Genomic DNA, 18,202 nt, shown 5'->3' on the forward strand with positions numbered 1-18,202 from the left:
TTTTTTTTTATTTTTGAGACGGAGTCTCACTCTGTCACCCAGGCTGGAGTGCAGTGACGTGATCTTGGCTCACTGCAATCCCTGCCTTCTGGTTTCAAGTGATTCTTATGCCTCAGCCTCCTGATAGCTAGGATTAAAGGCATGTGCCACCACACCCAGCTAATTTTTGTATTTTTAGTAGAGGCGGAGTTTTACCATGTTGGTCAGGCTGGTCTCAAACTCCTGACCTCAAGTGATCGGTTCGCCTTGGCCTCCCAAAGTGCTGGGATTACAGGTGTGAGCCACCGCTACCATGCCCGGTCTACTTTGCAGATTTAAAAAAACTTCTTTAGGCTGGTCCCAGTGCAGTGGTGTTTATAACTCATCAATCATAGCCAGTTACAGATTTCTTTATTCCTTCTTCACTCCCACTGCTTCACTTGACTACCCTTAAAAAAAAAACAAAAAACAAACAGAAGTCTTGAGATGGATGTTTGGCTTATTACTTTTTAGTCCTTCTTTCTAGTATATTCATTTAAATATAAATTTTAATCCTAAAAATGTACTGCTTTTAGCTGCAGCCCACACTTTTTTTGGTTTGTTTGTTTTGGGGGAAATTCTCCAGGCAGTAGTTATGGCTGTTGTTGCTTGCTGCTGCTTCTTTCCTATTTTTGTTGATAGCTTTGTGAGAGTACCTGTAATGTTGACATACTATAAAGGGTACATATTAAAATATGTAATTTGATAAGTTTTCTCATGAATGTAACCAGGTAATGAACATATTCATCACCCTAGAACATTTCCTCATGCCCCTTTATAATCCTTTTCTCTCCTTTTCCTTGCTCCTTCCCCAGGCAATTATGATTTGATTCCATGTTTTTTTTTTTTTTTGTACAGTCTCTGTCACCCAGGCTGGGGTACAGTGGCTCTATCTCAACTTACTGCTACCTCCACCTCCCGGCTTCAAGCAATGCTTGTGCCTCAGCCTCCCGAGTAGCTGGGACTTCAGGTGTACGCCACCACACGTGGCTCATTTTTGTGGGTTTTTATTTGTATTAATTAATTAATTTTTATTTATTTATTTAGAGATGGAGTCTCGCTCTGCTGCCGAGGCTGGGGTGTAGTGGTGTGATCTCGGCTCACTGCAACCTCCGCCTCCCAGGTTCAAGCAGTTTTCCTGCCTCAGCCTCCCAAATAGCTGGGATTACAGGCTTGTGCCACCATTCCTGGCTAATTTTTTCTATTTTTAGTAGAGATGGGGTTTCACCATGTTGGCCAGGCTGGTCTTGAGCTCCTGACCTCAAGTGATCCACGTGCCTCAGCCTCCAAAGTGGTGGGATTACAGGCCTGAGCCACCACACCTGGCCCATCCCCCACTTTTTTTTTTGAGACGGAGTCTCGCTCTGTCACCCATGCTGGAGTGCAGTGGCTAGATCTCGGCTCACTGCAATCTTTGCCTCCTGGGTTCAAGCGATTCTCCTGTTTCAGCCTCCCAAGTAGCTGGGATTACATGCGCCTGCTACCACGCCTGGCTAATTTTTGTGTTTTTGTAGAGATGGGGTTTCACCATGTTGGCCAGGCTGGTCTTGAACTCCTGTCCTCAGGTGATCTGCCTGCTTTGGCCTGAAGTGCTGGGATTATAGGCGTGAGCCACCATGCCCGGCCTCTTTTTTTGTTAAGATAGGGTCTTGCGGCTGGGTGTGGTGGCTGACGCTTGTAATCCCAGCACTTTGGGAGGCCGAGGTGGGTGGATCACAAGGTCAGGAGATCGAGACCATCCTGGTTAACATGGTGAAACCCTGTCTCTACTAAAAATACAAAAAATTAGCCGGGCATGGTGGCGCATGCCTGTAGTCCCCCCTACCTGAGAGGCTGAGGCAGGAGAATTGCTTGAACCCGGGAGGCGGACGGAGGTTGCAGTGAACCGAGATTGCGCCATTGCATTCCAGCCTGGACAACAGAGCGAGACTCCATCTCAAAAAAGAGGAAAAAAAAAAAAAAAAGATAGGGTCTTGCTCTGTCACCCAGGCCAGAGTGCAGTGACAGGATCGCAGCTTACTGCAACCTCAAACTCCTGGACTCAAGTGATCTTCCCACCTCAGCCTCCTGAGTAGCTGGAACTACAGATATACGCTACCGTGGTGCCTGGCTAATTTTTTTTAGTAGAGATGGGGTCTTGCTTTGTTGCCTAGGCTGGTCTCGAACTCCTGGCTTCAAGGGATTCTCTCACCTCAGCCTCCCAAAGTGTTGGGATTACAGGCATGAGACACTGTGCCTGGCCTGTTTTTTCTTATTACATATTTTTGTTCTAGAATTAATTTTTCCAAATTTGCTTGTTTTCTTTGTTTTGCTTGGTTTTGGGTTTTTTTTGGAGTTTTTTTGTTTGTTTGTTTTTTTAAAGTAACTTCGCGTTACTTGCCAAATTTTTCAGGATTGGGATTTTATATTTTTGAACATAGTAAGCAGGTATATGAATAGTTTGCTAGTATCTAGGGGAGCTTTTGTTTTGTTCCCCGTTGGTTACTAATACTTAAGGTTCATCTTTTTCCAATGTCTGGGCTTCAGATGTTCAGAAGTTTAATCACATTCCACTTGTGGACTGCTTTTCTTCTTGTTCATCTTTCCTGGTAGGATATCACTTTTTTGGTTTCAAGCCCAAAGGAGGGGGTCATTTACTCAAGCCTCTTGTCTTGTCTTGTCTTGTCTTGTCTTTTCTCTTCTAATAGAGATAGAGTCTCACTGTGCTACCTAGATAGACTGTGTTACTTGAACTCCTGGGCTTAAGCAGTCCTTCCACCTCGCCTCCCAAAATGCTGGGATTACAGACACAGTGCCCACCCAGCCACAAAGCCCCCAGTGTTGATGGTCCCTGGATTCCCACTTTTGTCCCTGGGGCCTATAGCCTCAGCTTCTAAATCTGCTACTTCTCTGCTAGATCAGCAAATGACCCCAGAGCAAAAGTGGCCTAGAATGCAAAGCTTCCTCCTTATGGAATTTCATCCTCTTCTTCATCTTGATCACCTTATCTTGTTCTATGATTCTTTTAAGGAGAGGTTTTCCCTTCCTTCCAGCTTTTTTAGTTTTGTGGGTGTCAAGTAGGAGAGAGATAATTAGTTTGAATTATATACTCATCTATTACCCAAAATAAAGTCCTTTAAAAAAAAAAAGATAAACTGAGACCTAGACAAATTAAGTAACCCTGTAAGACCACTTAATCAATGGAAATCCTGGTCCAGAATCCTGAGTGATTTTAACGAAATAGTTCACAGTCATTTATTAAGAGCAGGGGCACCCTAGAAGGAATTTTTTGGTTCTGTTGAGCCAGATTTATATTTGGCACATGCTCATTCTTTTTAGACTTTTTAGATAGCCTAATAAGATAGGACCATCACTATGTTATATAAATATGAAATCCATTTGAAAATATGGGACCTGTCAGTATAGGTACTGCTTGAACTGTAACTATGCATATATCTGATTGGCTTTTATGCCCTAGGGTGAGAAGGAGGTCACCTTGAAGCTTTGCAAAGTAAGTTCCTGGTTCCATTTTTCACTTGAATCCCCCTTGGATATCCTCCAGAATGATGTGTTTTCTTTCCCATTGCAACATTATTTTCAGCTTTGTGGAGAAACAAAGTATGTTCCAAGTAGCAGGTGGTCACTGTAGGCCTTCTTTGAACTGTGAACTTTATTTTTTTGCACCTGAACTGCTTTCTAAAACCACATAAACAATATGATAGGGAAGTTGCTATCTGAATAAAAAAACAAAACAAAACCTCACAATGTGTTTGATCTAGTACTGAGCTACACTGGTATATGTGGGCTATATAGAATTATGTGGTTTAGATTACTTGTTTAAGTATAGCAGTGGCTTGGAGGAAAATACATTCTGAGTTTCAAATAGATAATTTGTAAAGGAAAATTTGAAGTACAGTTGACTTGGCACTTCTGATATTGAAATTTTAGAAGATTTTGTTTCTGTATCTCAATGTAATGCCTAGGCAGAATCCACTAGATGCTTGTATAGATGGTATAAGCAATAATGATTTCGGCTATTTTTAAAAATTTCAATCTTTTTTTAATGTGGCCTCAGAATACCATCTTGTACTTCTCATTTTCCCTATACCTCCTTTTATGTGATTAAGTTTTATTATGTATAGACATAAAGGGGGCCTGGCACAGTGGCTCATGCCTGCAATCCCAGCATTTTGGGAGGCCGAGGCACGAGGATTGCTTGAGCCCAGGAGTTCAAGACAAGCCTAGGCAATGCAGTGAGACCCTGTCTCAAAAAAAAAAAAAAAAAAAAAAAGATTGGGGGGGTGCTATGATATTACGATATATATGTTGGTTTTCGTCCACAGTTTCTGTCATAGAACACCCATAGTCCCTGTTATTTCCTAAGTGACTAAAACAATACACATATATTTTATTGAAATATTTGGCCTTTTATTCTTGGTTTTTGAAGTGGCTTCAGTACAGCTTCAGATCAATAAAAGTGAAAGATGGTCTTTTGTAATAATGTTGGGGCACTTTAAACCTCAGAAGCAGGCTTCAGAAAACAGAATCTCTCTCTGACCTTTTCTTGCCTTGCTTTTACCTGCTCCTTTTTCTCCCCAAGCAGGCCATAGAAACTAAAAATATACTCTAATCATCCCCCAACATTCTGTCTTGGAGCTGACAGCAAAGAAATTATCTGACCTACCTTGTCTGATTGGAGGTCATAAGACCCCCATTTCAGAAGGCATCCTGCCCTGTACTTGGGAGGAAAGAAGTTGCACAGAGAGGCCAAGAAGACTCTGAACAGAGAGACCTTGCTAGGTTTCACCACTCAGTCTGTTAGCATTAGGTCCTACTTTTGTCCAATCATATTTCTACACGGTTGTCCATGCTTCAGTCGTGACTGTCCAGTGAAATCCTGGACCAGGTACAGAGAGCTTCCAGATAGCTGAACACGTGGAGGGTCCTGGAGGGTGGTGCACCCAGGGAGGGTATGAGAGCTCTGCACCCCTTCCCACATGCCTTGTTCTGTGCACCTCTTCATCTGCATTCTTTGTACTATTCTTTATAATAAACCAGTACACGTGTTTTCCTGAGTTCTGGGCACAGCTTTAGCAAATTAATCAAACCTAAGAAGGGGGTCATGGGAACACTGACTTGAAGCTGGTTGGCCAGAAGTTCTGGATGAGGCCTAGCCTTACAACTAGTGTCTGAAGTGGGGGCAGTCTTGTGAGACTGAGCCCTCTCTCAGCCTGTGGGATCTAATGCTATCTCCAGGTAGATAGCATGATAATTGAATTGGATTAGAAGGTGCTCAGCTGGTGGTATCGTCTGCAGAACTGATTGCTTCTTGTTGGTGGGGAGAAATCCCCACACATTTGGTCACAGAAGTCTACTGTGTTGATGATTGTGGTGTAAGAGCAGAGGAAAAGCAATTTGATTTTTCTCCACAAGGGGAAGAAAATGTTTCATGATTCAACTAATGATTTACCTTTCATTGTAAGGTTATCATGCTCAAGTATTAATGTAGGAAGGCTTTTTTGATGCAGAGTGTGTGTGTGTGTGTGTGTGTGTGTATATGTGTGTGTTTGTAGAGGGCTAACATTAAAAAGGGAAATGTAATAAGGAAGAAGAAATGGTGTTCTAAACTTAAAACCCATTTCATCTGCTAAATCGTCCTAGTGAAATACCAACTTTAGTTAATTTAAAAAAAAGTTTAGTTAATTGTAAAAAAAAAAAAGAATCTCTTCATTATTTTAAAAACCATTTGTGTTTCCTTTTTCTGTAATTTATTCATATTTGTCCATTTTTAATTGCAGTGTTATTCTTGTTATTGATTTTTTAAAACGTGGTCTTTATATTTGAGTGAAATTAACCTTCCATCATGAGTTGGAGCATTTTTTCCCCAATATATACTTCTCTTTTGATTTTGCTTATGGTCATTTTATAATGCCATGGTTTTTTTGTTGTTTGTTTGTTTTGTTTTTTTTTTGAGATGGAGTCTCGCTCTCTCAGCCAGGCTGGAGTGCAGTGGCGTGATCTCAATTCACTGCAACCTCCACCTCCCCGTTTCAAGCGATTCTCCTGCCTCAGCCTCCTGAGTAGCTGGGATTACAGGCGTGCACCACCACGCCTGGCTAATTTTTGTATTTTTAGTAGTAATGGAGTTTCACCATGTTGGACAGGTTGGTCTCAGACTCCTGACCTCAGGTGATCTGCCCATCTTGACCTCCCAAAGTCCTGGGATTACAGGCGTGAGCCACCATGCCCAGCCTGGTCATGGTTTTATACATGCTATGTTTATAATCAAATTTTACTTCTATTTAATAGATGACTAACACACTTACACATAGATGCTTATACCCAAATATGTATGTTTATAGATTTTAAAATGCTTATTATATTTAAAAGGCCTAATAAGTAGTTTCAGCAAAAGCTGTTATATATATGTATATAATGGACCAATTGCAGTTGGATCAATAAAGAACTGTAAGGTGTGTTATGATCTAGAAAAGTGTTTCTTTTTTTTTTTAGATGGAGTCTTGCTCTGTTGCCCAGGCTGGAGTGCAGTGGCACGATCTCGGCTCGCTGCAAGCTCCGCCTCCCGAGTTCACGCCATTTTCCTGCCTCAGCCTCCTGAGTAGCTGGGACTATAGGCACGTGCCACCACACCCAGCTAATTTTTTGTATTTTTAGTAGAGACGGGGTTTCACCATGTTGGCCAGGATGGTCTCGATCTCTTGACCTCGTGATCCGCCCTCCTTGGCCTCCAAAAGTGCTGGTATTACAGGCGTGAGCCACTGTTCCCGGCCCTGAAAAGTGTTTCTTAACAATAACTAGGAACTGTGCTGTGTGTTTTATATAAGAGTATATTATATAATTTTTTTTTTCTTTGAGATGGAGTCTCACTCTGTTGCCCAGACTGAGTGCAGTGGTGTGATCTCAGCTCACTGCAGCCTCTACCTCCCAGGTTCAAGCGATTCTCCTGCCTCAGCCTCCCAAGTAGTTGGGATTACAGGCGCACGCCACCATGCCCTGCTAATTTTTGTATGTTTAGTTTTACCATGTTGGCCAGGCTGGACTCAAACTCCTGACCTCAAGTGACCCTCCCACCTCGGTCTCCCAAAGTGTTGGGATTACAGGTGTGAGACACTGTGCCTGGCCCTCAATCTTTAATTAAGAAGCAAGTGCCAGGCACAATGGTATACTCCTATAATCTCAGCTACTCAGGAGGCTGAGGTGGGAGGATTGCCAGTGCTTGAGCCCAGGAGTTTGAGACCAGCCTGGACAACATAGTGAGACCCTTATCTCAATTTTAAGAAGAAAGAATTAGGTAATGATATGATTTTAATTTTATAGGTGTGGAAACGGAGGCTTAGAGAATTGAATAATCGTATATACCTTATAAGATTCTCTCATACTCCATTTTTAAAAGTTTTCTATCAAGTTTAAGTTGTATTGATACATGATATATAGTGAAGTGTCTATGTACAATGCTTAATTTACATATATATACATTTCCAATTATGAATATATTGCAAACTGTATTAGTGAATGAATTATTCATTTATCATATCAGTATTATATATTACTATAATATATAAATATACTAATTATATATTAGTATTAATGTAAACATTAATTTAGAAATACTTTTTTCTCCAGTGAAGCCTCCTCAGACTTCTCATATGCATCTTCAGTATTTATGGGTTTCTACCCTTTGAACAATCTAACAGTTCCAGAGCAAATATTATCTTCTAAGAGGTTTGAGATAGATCCTTATTTGAATCAGTATATTATGTTGTGACTGGAAATTTTATCCCTAGCCATGTCTCTATTCACATAACATTAGTAAATGTGATTTTTCATTAATATATTTCATATGAGTAGCATTAATGACCTCCATGACATAATTACTTAGTCTGTTGCTTTTGAAGTGATTCATTCATTCTACAGATACTTACTGAACACACACTATGTGCCAGAAACTGCTAGCATTGGAAGTAGAGCTGTGAACAAAATCAAGCATCAACATTTCTGATATTTGAGAAGATAGGCAACAAGCAAATATGTGATGTAAAGTAGTGATAAGTGCTGTAAAATCACAAGAGGGTATAGAATGAGGATTGTTCTTCAAGTTGATAGAACAGATCTTTAAAGAAGTGATTTGAGGCTGGGCGTGGTGGCTTACACCTGTAATCCCAACACTTTGGGAGGCCGAGGCTGGTGGATCATGAGGTCAAGAGACTGAGACCATCCTGGCCAACGTGCTGAAACTCTATCTCTACTAAAAATACAAAAATTAGCCAGGCGTGGTGGTGCGTGCCTGTAGTCCCAGCTACTCGGGAGGCTGAGGCAGAAGTGCTTGAACCCGGGAGGCGGAGGTTGCAGTGAGTTGAGATCATGCCACTGCATGCCAGCCTGGGCGACAGAGCAAGACTCCATCTCAAAAAAAAAAAAAAAAAAAAAAGGTGATTCGAGGCTTCATGTGGTGGTTCATGCCTGTAATCCCTGCACTTTGGGAGGCTGAGGCAGGAGGATCGCTTGAGCTCGGGAGTTTGAGGCCAGCCTGGGCAACATGGTGAAACCCCATGTCTATAAAAAATACAAAAATTAGTCGGGTGTGGTGGTGGGCGCCTGTAGTCCCAGCTATTTGGGAGGCTGAGGTGGGAGGAACACTTGAACCTGAGAGGTCAAGGTTGCAGTGAGCCAAGATGGCAGCACTGTACTCCAGGTTGGGCAACAGAGTGAGACCCTGTCTCAAAAAAAAAAAAAAGTGATTTGAGCAGAGGCCTGAATGACATAAAGTGTTTAGATATCTGGAGAAAGACTTTGCAATCAGATGCAGACACCCTGGGGTTGGAAAATGCTTACAGTCTGAATAGTAAAAGAGGCACCACCAGCATGACTTCTAGTTATTGTGCTACACCCTGCACATTTTTTTCTTCTTTTTCGAGACAGGGTCTCACTCTGTCACCTAGATGGGAGTGCAGTGGCATGATCATGGCTCACTCCAGCTTCAACCTCCTAGGCTTCAGCAATGCTCTTGCCTCAGCCTTTGGAGTAGCTGGGACCACAGGTTTGTGTCACCACGTATGACTAATTTTTTTTTATTTTTCCTGTGTTGCCCAGGTTGATTTTGAACTCCTGGGTTCAAGTGATCCTCCTGCCTTGGCCTCCCAAAGTGCTGGAATTCCAGGCAAGAGCCACCATGCCTGGCCCTGGGCAACATTTTTATTGTCAGTCATTTAATAGCCTAGTCTAATGGATGTGTAGTGATATGTCATTGTGATTTTAATTTGCCTTTCCTTAATGACTAATGATGCTGAACACTTTTTTTATGTGCTTTTTTTTTTTGCCATTTATAAATTTTCCTTTGTGAAGTTTAAGTCTTGCCATTTTTAAATTGGGTTGTTTACCTTTTTATTCAACAGCTGTAGGTTTTTTGTTTTTTTTTTTTTTTGATACAGAGTCTCACTCTGTCTCCAGGCTGTAGTGCAGTGGCGCATCTCGGCTCACTGCAACCTCCGCTCCCAGGTTCAAGTGATTCTCCTGCCTCAGCCTCCCAAGTAGCTGAGATAACAGGCATGCACCACCACGCATGATCCACCCACCTCGGCCTCCCAAAGTGCTGGGATTACAGGCGTGAGCCACTGCGCCCAGCCCAGAAAGGAACATTCTTAAGCATTGAAGTGATTCTTGTCAAATTTGATTTCTATTCAAATTTAGGAGCTAGGCCAGGCATGGTGGCTCAGCCCTGTAATCCCAGCACTTCGGGAGGCTGAGGTGGGTAGATTGCCTGAATCCAGGAGTTTGAGACCAGGCTGGACAACATGGGGAAACCCCTGTCTCTACTAAAAATACAAAAGATTAGATGGGCCTAGTGGCGCCTCATGCCTGTAGTCCCCAGCTATCCCGGAGGCTGAGGTGGGAGAATCTCCCGAACCTGATGGGAAAGGTAGCAGTGAGTTGAGATAGCGCCACTGTACTCCAGCCTGGGCAACAAAGTGAGATCCTGTCTCAAAAAACAAAACAAAACCAAACAAATTTAGGAGCTAGCTTATGATTGTAGAAATAATTTTGGCAATAGAAGTGAGGGAACTGAGTTGTAGTCTAGCTAATTAACATTTGACAAACCATTAACTTTATATGTCTCATTTTCTTCATCTGTAAAATGAGGAAGATTTGATTAGAGGATTTATTAAAGTTCTTTTAAAATCTGAAATTACAGTTTCTTAATTGGTTTTGTAGAGATTTTGGCTTTATAAAAATGTGTGAACCATAGTGACAGTAGAAACATTTGAAATCCTATATTTGGGTGATTCATAAAAGAAAGGAAGAATTATGGGCATCTTGCCTGTAAAATGTTATGTAATCTGAATCGTTACCCACAGCATCCTGTGACTGATAAAGGTACTCATGCCCACCTCTCCTCCCTTGTCTTTCTGTAGTACTTTCCTTTCTCCCCGCCTCAATAATAGCTTTATTGATGTATAATTCACATACCATACATGTCATCTATTAATATTTAAAGCATACAATTCAGCGGTTTTTAGTCTATTTACAGAGTTGTACAGCCATCATCACAATCAATTTTAGAACACTTTCTGAACTCCAGAAAGAAAGTACCCTGCCTATTTCCCCTCTATCACCTAGCCCCAGGCAACTATGAATCTACTTTCAGCCTCCATAGATTGCCCTGTTATGGACAAATATGTGGCTGGTTTCTTAGTATAATGTTTTCAAGGTTATTTACGTTGTAGCATGTGTCAGCTATTTCATTTCTTTTTATTGTCAAATAACATTCAGTTGTATGGATATACCACATTTTATCTATTCCATCAGTTGATGGACATTTGAGTTGTTTTCATTTTGGGATTATTATAAATAATGCTACTATGAACATTTGTATACAAACATTATGTGGACATGTGTTTTCATTTCTCTTGGATATATACTTAGGAATGGGATTGCTGTATCACATGATACCTCTGTATTTAACCTTTTGAGGAATTGCCAAACTGTTTTCCAAAAGTGGCTGCACCATTTACATTCCCATTAGCAATATATGCTCCAGTTTCTCTACATCCTACCTTATACTTTTTTTTTTTTTTTTCTTTTTTTGAGACAGAGTCTCGCTCTGTCGCCCAGGCTGGAGTACAGTGGCACAATCTCGGCTCACTGCAACCTCCGCCTCCTGAGTTCAAGCAATTCTAAATTATCATGCCTCAGTCTCCCGCATAGCTGGGATTAGAGGCGTTTGCCACCATGCCTGGCTAAGTTTTGTATTTTTAGTAAAAATGGGGTTTCGCCATGTTGGCCAGGCTGTTCTCGAACTCTTGACCTCAGGTGATCCACACGCCTCGGCCTCCCAAAATGCTGGGATTATAGGTATGAGCCACCGTGTCCGGCCTGATTGGCCAGCTTTTCATTTGGAATGGGGATAGGACATAGTTGGAAGTTGGTCTCTTTGGTTATTTCCCTAACATGTCCAAGCATCCTAAAGTATCAGTCAAATAAGCAGTCTCTTCTCATTCCTGGCAGAGAGTAAGTCAAAGCCTTAATTCAATTTGCATACCTGTTTTCATGTAACAACAAATAATTTTTTTTTTTTTGAGACAGAGTTTCTCTGTTGTTGTTTAGGCTGGAGTGCAATGATGTGATCTTGGCTCACTGCAACCTCCGCCTCCCGGGTTCAAGCGATTCTCCTGCCTTAGCCTCCCAAGTAGCTGAGATTACAGGCATGCACCACCACAGCCGGCTAGTTTTGTATTTTTAGTAGAGACGGGGTTTCTCCGTGTTGGTCAGGCTGGTCTTGAACTCCTGACCCCAGGTGACCCGCCTGCCTCGGCCTCCCAAAGTGCTGGGATTACAGGCGTGAGCCACCACGCCTGGCCACAACAAAGAATTTTACCAGAAGTGGGTATGATTTATATCTTAGTTTGAATTGCTACTTACCTTTGGGGGAACAGACCTTTCCTTGATGTATCTTTAACACTGAAATCTTGGCAAGTTGCCAAGTCTCAAATGTTCATGAGTAAGACTGCAATATCACAATATCATAGTCACACAGGAATCTGATAGAAAAGCATCACATTTATAAAGCCTTCTTTCCTGTACATCACTGACGTTTTGTGAATTTTAAAGAATTTGTAATTATTTTTAAGGAGCATATTTAATGTAGATAATGTAGCCTAGAATAGGCTCATTTGAAATGAAACTCTTGCTAATAGGAACTTAATTCACCAAATTAAGAATATTTTGCTTTTGTAGAGATTTTGCTCTTGAAAATGTTGCAGTCTTGATTTCGTCTTGTCAGTCCAGTCAGAATTGTAAAGTAATTTTTTTTCTCATTCCAGAAATACATGCTACAGGATTTAACTATCAGAATGAAGATGAAAAAGTCACCTTGTCTTTCCCTAGTACTCTGCAAACAGGTAAGAGACATAGCTTTTGTAAAATCTCGTGATGAATATAGTGACATCTGACTTCCTCCAGAGAAATTTATTGTATGCCATTTTTCCCCTCATTGTTATTAGCAGATTAAGTATTAAGAGCTTTTTTTTTTTTTTTCCTTTGAGACGGAGTCTTACTCTATTGCCCAGGCTGGAGAGTAGTGGCATGATCTTGGCTCACTACAACCTCCACCTTCCAGGTTCAAGCGATTCTCCTGCGTCGGCCTCCCGAGTAGCTGGGATTACAGGTGCCTACCACCACACCGGCTAATTTTTTTGTATTTTTAGTAGAGACAAGGTTTCGCCATGTTGGCCAGGCTGGTCTTGAACTCCTGATCTCAAGCGATCTGCCCACCCTGGCCTCCCAAAGTGGTAGGATTACAGGCAGGAGCCACCGCGCCCAGCCGTATTAAGAGCTTTTTAAAGAGGTTTGTTGCAACTTTTGGGCCACCAGCATTTCCTTCTGCGGAAGTTGGGCTACGAAAAGCAGGGTTTCCACCTCCTGTCACTCTATATTCTCTTTAAACGAACAAGCCAAGAAAAACAGGACAAAAACTAAAGATCATTCTATCCTAGAATGTAATGTATTGTTTTCCAGTTTTACCTTTTTAAAAATACCTTTACCTAGGCCGGGCATGGTGGCTCACACCTGCAATCCTAGCGCTTTGGGAGGCCAAGGCGGGCTGATCACTTGAAGCCAGGAGTTAGGGACCAGCATGGCGAACATGGCAAAACCCCATCTCTACCAAAAAATACAAAAATTACCCAGTGTGGTGGCTCATCCCTATAATCCCAGCTACTCAGAAGGCTGAGGCAAGAAAATCGCCAGAAGCCAGGAAGTGGAGGTTGCAGTGAACCGAGATCGTGCCACTGCACTCCAGCCTGGGTGATAGAGTGGGACTCTGTCTAAAACAAACAAACAAAATACCTTTACCTAGCTGCATCTTCTATTAATTGAATCCAAATCCCTGAAGTGAATGGTCACAGATGATTTTGATATACAACCAGAGATCAAATAGGTATTGTGTTATTGAGGGCACAGAAAGAAAGATAGGTTGATATGTTACTATTGTTAGGTATAAAAGCACAAAGAAATAGACTTTCTGAGCTTAGTGTATGTGGAAGAAATTATATACAAATCAATTGGTGAAGTACTAAGACTTTGATGAATGAACAAATGAAAAGGAACAGATAATTCAAAAGGAAGAAAATGTAAATGACTAATAAACATGTGAAAAGATATTGAGCCTCCTAGTAATGAGAAATTTTTGCTTCTCATGTGAGCTGATTTTAAAAATTCCCAATGATATGGCTGCCTTGATATCGCTGGGGGAAGTATAAATCCATGTAATTTTTTTGAAAAGCATTCTGGCAGTATATCAAGAGCCTAAATATGTTCATGTCCTTTGACCCAGCAATTCTGCTAATAGGAATATATCCCAAGGAAAAGTCATAAATACAGAAAATACTTTATGCCCAGAAGTGTCTGAGATATTACTTATGGTAGTAAAAAATTATAATTAATATATTTGTTCAACACTAAGGAAATGATCAAGCCAGGAATGATATATATCTATATAGTGAAATATACTTAGCAATTAAAAGTGAGGTTTGTGAATTCTTCACCCTGTAAAGTGCTTATTATAATGTAAACTTGAAAAGCAGAATATAAAATTACATATTTAAGGTGGTGAATCATGTCTCTAAATGGCACAAGTAAAATGATAGTTATGTCTGGGTGTTGACATAATTGGTGATTTTTATTCTTATTTATATCTTTTGTCTGATTTTCACAATTTTCCTACTGAGAATCTATTGAATTAATATAAAATTATTTTTAGAAAAAATTTAAATTGGAGATGTTTAGTCTTTTATTTCAGTGCTCTTGGAGGCCCTTTATGTGTAATTATTATAAAAATAAATGGGCTGGGCGTGGTGGCTCACGCCTGTAATCCCAGCACTTTGGGAGGCCGAGGCGGGTGGATCACGAGGTCAGGAGATCGAGACCATCCTGACTAACACGGTGAAACCCTGTCTCTACTAAAAATACAAAAAATTAGCTGGGAATGGTGGCAGGTGCCTGTAGTCCCAGCTACTCGGGAGGCTGAGGCAGGAAAATGGCGTGAACCCGGGAGGTGGAGCTTGCAGTGAGCCGAGATCGCACCACTGCACTCCAGCCTGGGCGACAGAGTGAGACTCCGTCCCAAAAAACAAAACAAAACAAAACAAAAAATGCTTTGCCATGAACATGTATTAAAAGCTATTGAAGAATATAATTTGAAAAGGAAGGAGATTCTTCTGCTGCATTGTCTGGTGAATCTGTCTAGAAATATTCCTATGTATATATAAATTTATGTATATAATTTAACCCACAAATAGGATCACAAATCTCAGTGGCTTATAACCACTGAGATTTCTTTCTTTTTTACACATGGGCCATGAGGAGTGCTGATCATATGCAGCCATATCACCAACTCTACTGGCTCCACTTGGCTCCCAACTGTCTTTCCAGGACTAGTAGTGAGCGGGCAGCCACTCTCTGTATCATGCATGGCAGAGGGCAGAGGCTCAGGGAAGGGGAGAAAGCTAGAACACAAAGACACATTTAAAACTTCTGCATGGCCAGGCGTGGTGACTCACACCTGTAATCTCAGCATTTTTGGAGGCTGAGGCAGGAGGATTGCTTGAGCCCAGGAGTTGGAGACCAGCCTAGGCAATGTAGTGAGACCCTGTCTCTATAAAAAATAAAATAAAAAATAAAATTTCTGTATGATGGTGGTATACTTGATGTCTACTCACATTTCATTGACCAAAGCAAGTAGCATGACCAAGCCCAAAGTCACTGGGGTAGCATTTAACAGACATTTGCAAAAAGTTTCTAATGAAAGATAGGGCAAAAAGCAAAATTATAAGTATAATAGAAATAAAGGAAGTTGGAAAAAGCAAAGACAAATCTAAAGAAAGTTAAAAAAAAAACAAACAAACCCAAAGCTAATTACTATCCTTAGAGAATTAAGAGAAAGCATTGCGTTCATTAAACAAGGACAGGACAGAATGCCATCAGATAGGAAGAATTACAGCAGGAAAACTTGGAAATTATGATGGGTATAAAAAACCCAGTAAAAGTGTTAAAAGATGAAGTTGAGGAAACTTCTAAGCAGTAGAAAAAACAGATAGAAAACAGAAAAATAGATTTGAGAACCAGTCCAGCAGAACCAACATCCATCTAGTGAAACAGAAAGCAGAGAAAATGGGAAGAGGATTTTTTTATTTTCATTTTTGCAACAGAATCTTGCTCTGTCACCCAGACTGGAGTGTAGTGGTGCGATCTCGGCTCACCACAGCCTCCACCTCGTGGGTTCCAGTGATTCTCCTGCCTCAGCCTCCTGGGTAGCTGAGATTACAGGCACATACCACCATGCCCAGCTGATTTTTGTATTTTTAGTAGAGTTGGGGTTTCACCATGTTGGCCAGGCTGGTCTCGAACTCCAGACCTTAGGTGATCTGCCCACTTCGGCCTCTCAAAGTGCTAGGATTACAGGCGTGTGCCACTGTGCCCGGCCAGAAGAGAAACTTTCAAAAAGACAGGAACATTTCCTTGAACTGATAGAGCAGGAGCCTTCAGTTTGCAAAGGTACACCATTGAGAGAGACTAGCTTAAAAAATGTAAAAATTGCCACACTGACTGAAATTTTAGAACTTTTGCGATAAAGTAAAACTCCCAGAAAGTTCCTGTCTGGGGTAGGGGGCAATAGGAGGGAAGGCAGGTAGCATACTACCTTTAAAATTTAGGAATCAGAATAGTCCTAGACTTACCATTAGGAACAGTGGAAACTTAGACTCTAATGAAGCTGTTCATTCAAAATACAAAGTGAATCTGATTTTCAACCTAAGATTGCATGCTTAACCCAACTTTGAATTTCGGAGTAAAAATATTTTCAGATTTGCAAGGTCATAGAAAATTTGATTCTTTGTAAAAGATATTGGAGTGGGGGATGGATTAGCTAAAGCATGACTTTCTACAGTGAAGAGAAAATGTCTAAAGTTGAAAAATGAAGAAATAGGCCATGGTCGTGGCTCATGCCTGTAATCCCAACACTTTGGGAGGCTGAGGTGGGAGGATTGCTTGCCCATGAATTGAAGGCTGCAGTGAGCCATGATTGTACCACTGCCCTCGCGCCTGGGCGACAGAGCAAGACTGTCTCAAAGAAAGGAAAAGAAAAAATAGCTGTGTAAGCAAGACATTTAGAAGTCACAGAGTTTGAAATTGATTGCTTCTTAGGGGCAGGGTGTGGGGAGTAGGGCCTAGTGTTGAGCAGGGCCTGGAGCTTACGTATTTTAAACTATGAACTATTATTTTGATAGAAATTTAAAAAATTTTAGAGTTTTAAATCTATATCATTACAGACTATATATATTCTGCGTTTACACTGTGAAAAAATTAGAAGTCAATAGAAAAAGAAATGAAAAACCTTTTTATATATTTGGAAAAATTACACCTCTGAATAATTGAGTCAAAGAAGACTTGTTATGGAAATTAGAAAATATTTAGAACTGAATAATGAAATTACCACATATGAAACATTAGGGATAAACGTGTTTCATATGCAGATAAAATATTAGAGAGGATATTTAGTTAAGAAGAAAGACTGAAAATTAATTAGCTAAGCATTAAACTCATAAAAACAAAAGGTAATTTGGAGAAAGTAGAAGAAAGTTTTAAGAGCAGAAACAAATGAAATAAGTGAAGTGAGGGGCAGAAATATTAAAAAACTGATATTTAAAAATAGTCCCAAAAGATATATAAACCTAGCCAGTATAGAAAATAAAAGCGTAGATTGAATTGTTGTTCAGCATTAGGAAATATGGTAACCATTTTTCATTAAATTTAAAAAGTTAAACATTCTATATTTATCAAAAGGAATCAGTTTATTTGCTAGAATTCACCAGGGAAGAGTAGACAGAAACTTCTAACATGATAGAAGATATGGATTACACACACACACACGACATAATCTGTGCCAAGTACTGTTTTAAGTGCCTCAAAAATATTAATTTATTTAATCCTTTCAACAACCTTTTGAGGTAGATTTGTTTTGTGACAAAGTCTCTCTGTCACCCAGGCTGGAGTATAGTGGTGCAGTCACGGCTCACTGCAGCCTCAAACTCCTGGGTTTAAGTGATTCTCCCACTTCAGCCTCCCATGTAGCTAGGACTGCCTACACATGACACTGCATCTGGTTAATTTTTAAATTTTTTTGTAGAGACAGGGTCTCGTTATGTTGCCTAGGCTGGTCTCAAATGCCTGGCCTCAGGTGATCCTCCTACCTCAGAGAGAGGATCTTGCCATCCTCCCAAATGTTGAGATTACAGGCATGAGCCACTACGCCAGCCAGATTCTGTTACTTCTATTTTGTAGATAAACTAAGGCAGAAAAATGATTTCATTAACTTAAATAATTTGTCCAAGGTAACATAGCTAGTAAGTAACATAGCTGGGATTTAAACCCAAGCAGTTTAACTGAAAAGTCTGCACTTTTAACCACCACATTGTGCTATCTTTATTTTTCAAATTAAATATTTCAAAAACATAGTACATTTACATAATTTGAAATTCAAATGCTATGCAATGAAATTTTGTTTGCCAGTCTACCGTCTTCTTTCTCAGCTCCATTCCTCAACAGAATGAAATGAAATTTTCCTTTCAAAACTATACCCTGCTTTTGTAAGCATTTATGTATATACTTTTTAAGAACACAGAAATCACCATGC

At 40.5% G+C, this 18,202-nt stretch overlaps 1 protein-coding gene across 4 annotated transcripts in view, besides 2 other annotated features; it reads left to right on the plus strand.

Annotated features, from left to right (window-relative positions):
* Window positions 1-18,202, plus strand: part of NPEPPS (aminopeptidase puromycin sensitive) — a 100,344-nt gene that overhangs the window by 34,149 nt on the left and 47,993 nt on the right. For all 4 annotated transcript variants that reach the window (NM_001330257.2, XM_017025373.1, NM_001411130.1 and 1 more), the window contains one exon: window positions 12,336-12,413. In NM_001330257.2, the coding sequence (NP_001317186.1) occupies window positions 12,336-12,413 (78 nt within the window). The remainder of the gene's footprint in view (window positions 1-12,335; window positions 12,414-18,202) is intronic.
* Window positions 9,184-9,685: an enhancer, noted in NCBI's record as "H3K27ac hESC enhancer chr17:45643631-45644132 (GRCh37/hg19 assembly coordinates)". NCBI's record gives its function as "activates a minimal SCP1, AML or CMV promoter by ChIP-STARR-seq in primed H9 embryonic stem cells {active_cell/tissue: H9 hESC(primed)}" and the evidence as "EXISTENCE:reporter gene assay evidence [ECO:0000049][PMID:30033119]".
* Window positions 9,686-10,185: an enhancer, noted in NCBI's record as "H3K27ac hESC enhancer chr17:45644133-45644632 (GRCh37/hg19 assembly coordinates)". NCBI's record gives its function as "activates a minimal SCP1, AML or CMV promoter by ChIP-STARR-seq in primed H9 embryonic stem cells {active_cell/tissue: H9 hESC(primed)}" and the evidence as "EXISTENCE:reporter gene assay evidence [ECO:0000049][PMID:30033119]".

Source organism: Homo sapiens, chromosome 17, assembly GCF_000001405.40.
Source record: "Homo sapiens chromosome 17, GRCh38.p14 Primary Assembly".
Classification (NCBI taxonomy): domain Eukaryota; kingdom Metazoa; phylum Chordata; class Mammalia; order Primates; family Hominidae; genus Homo; species Homo sapiens.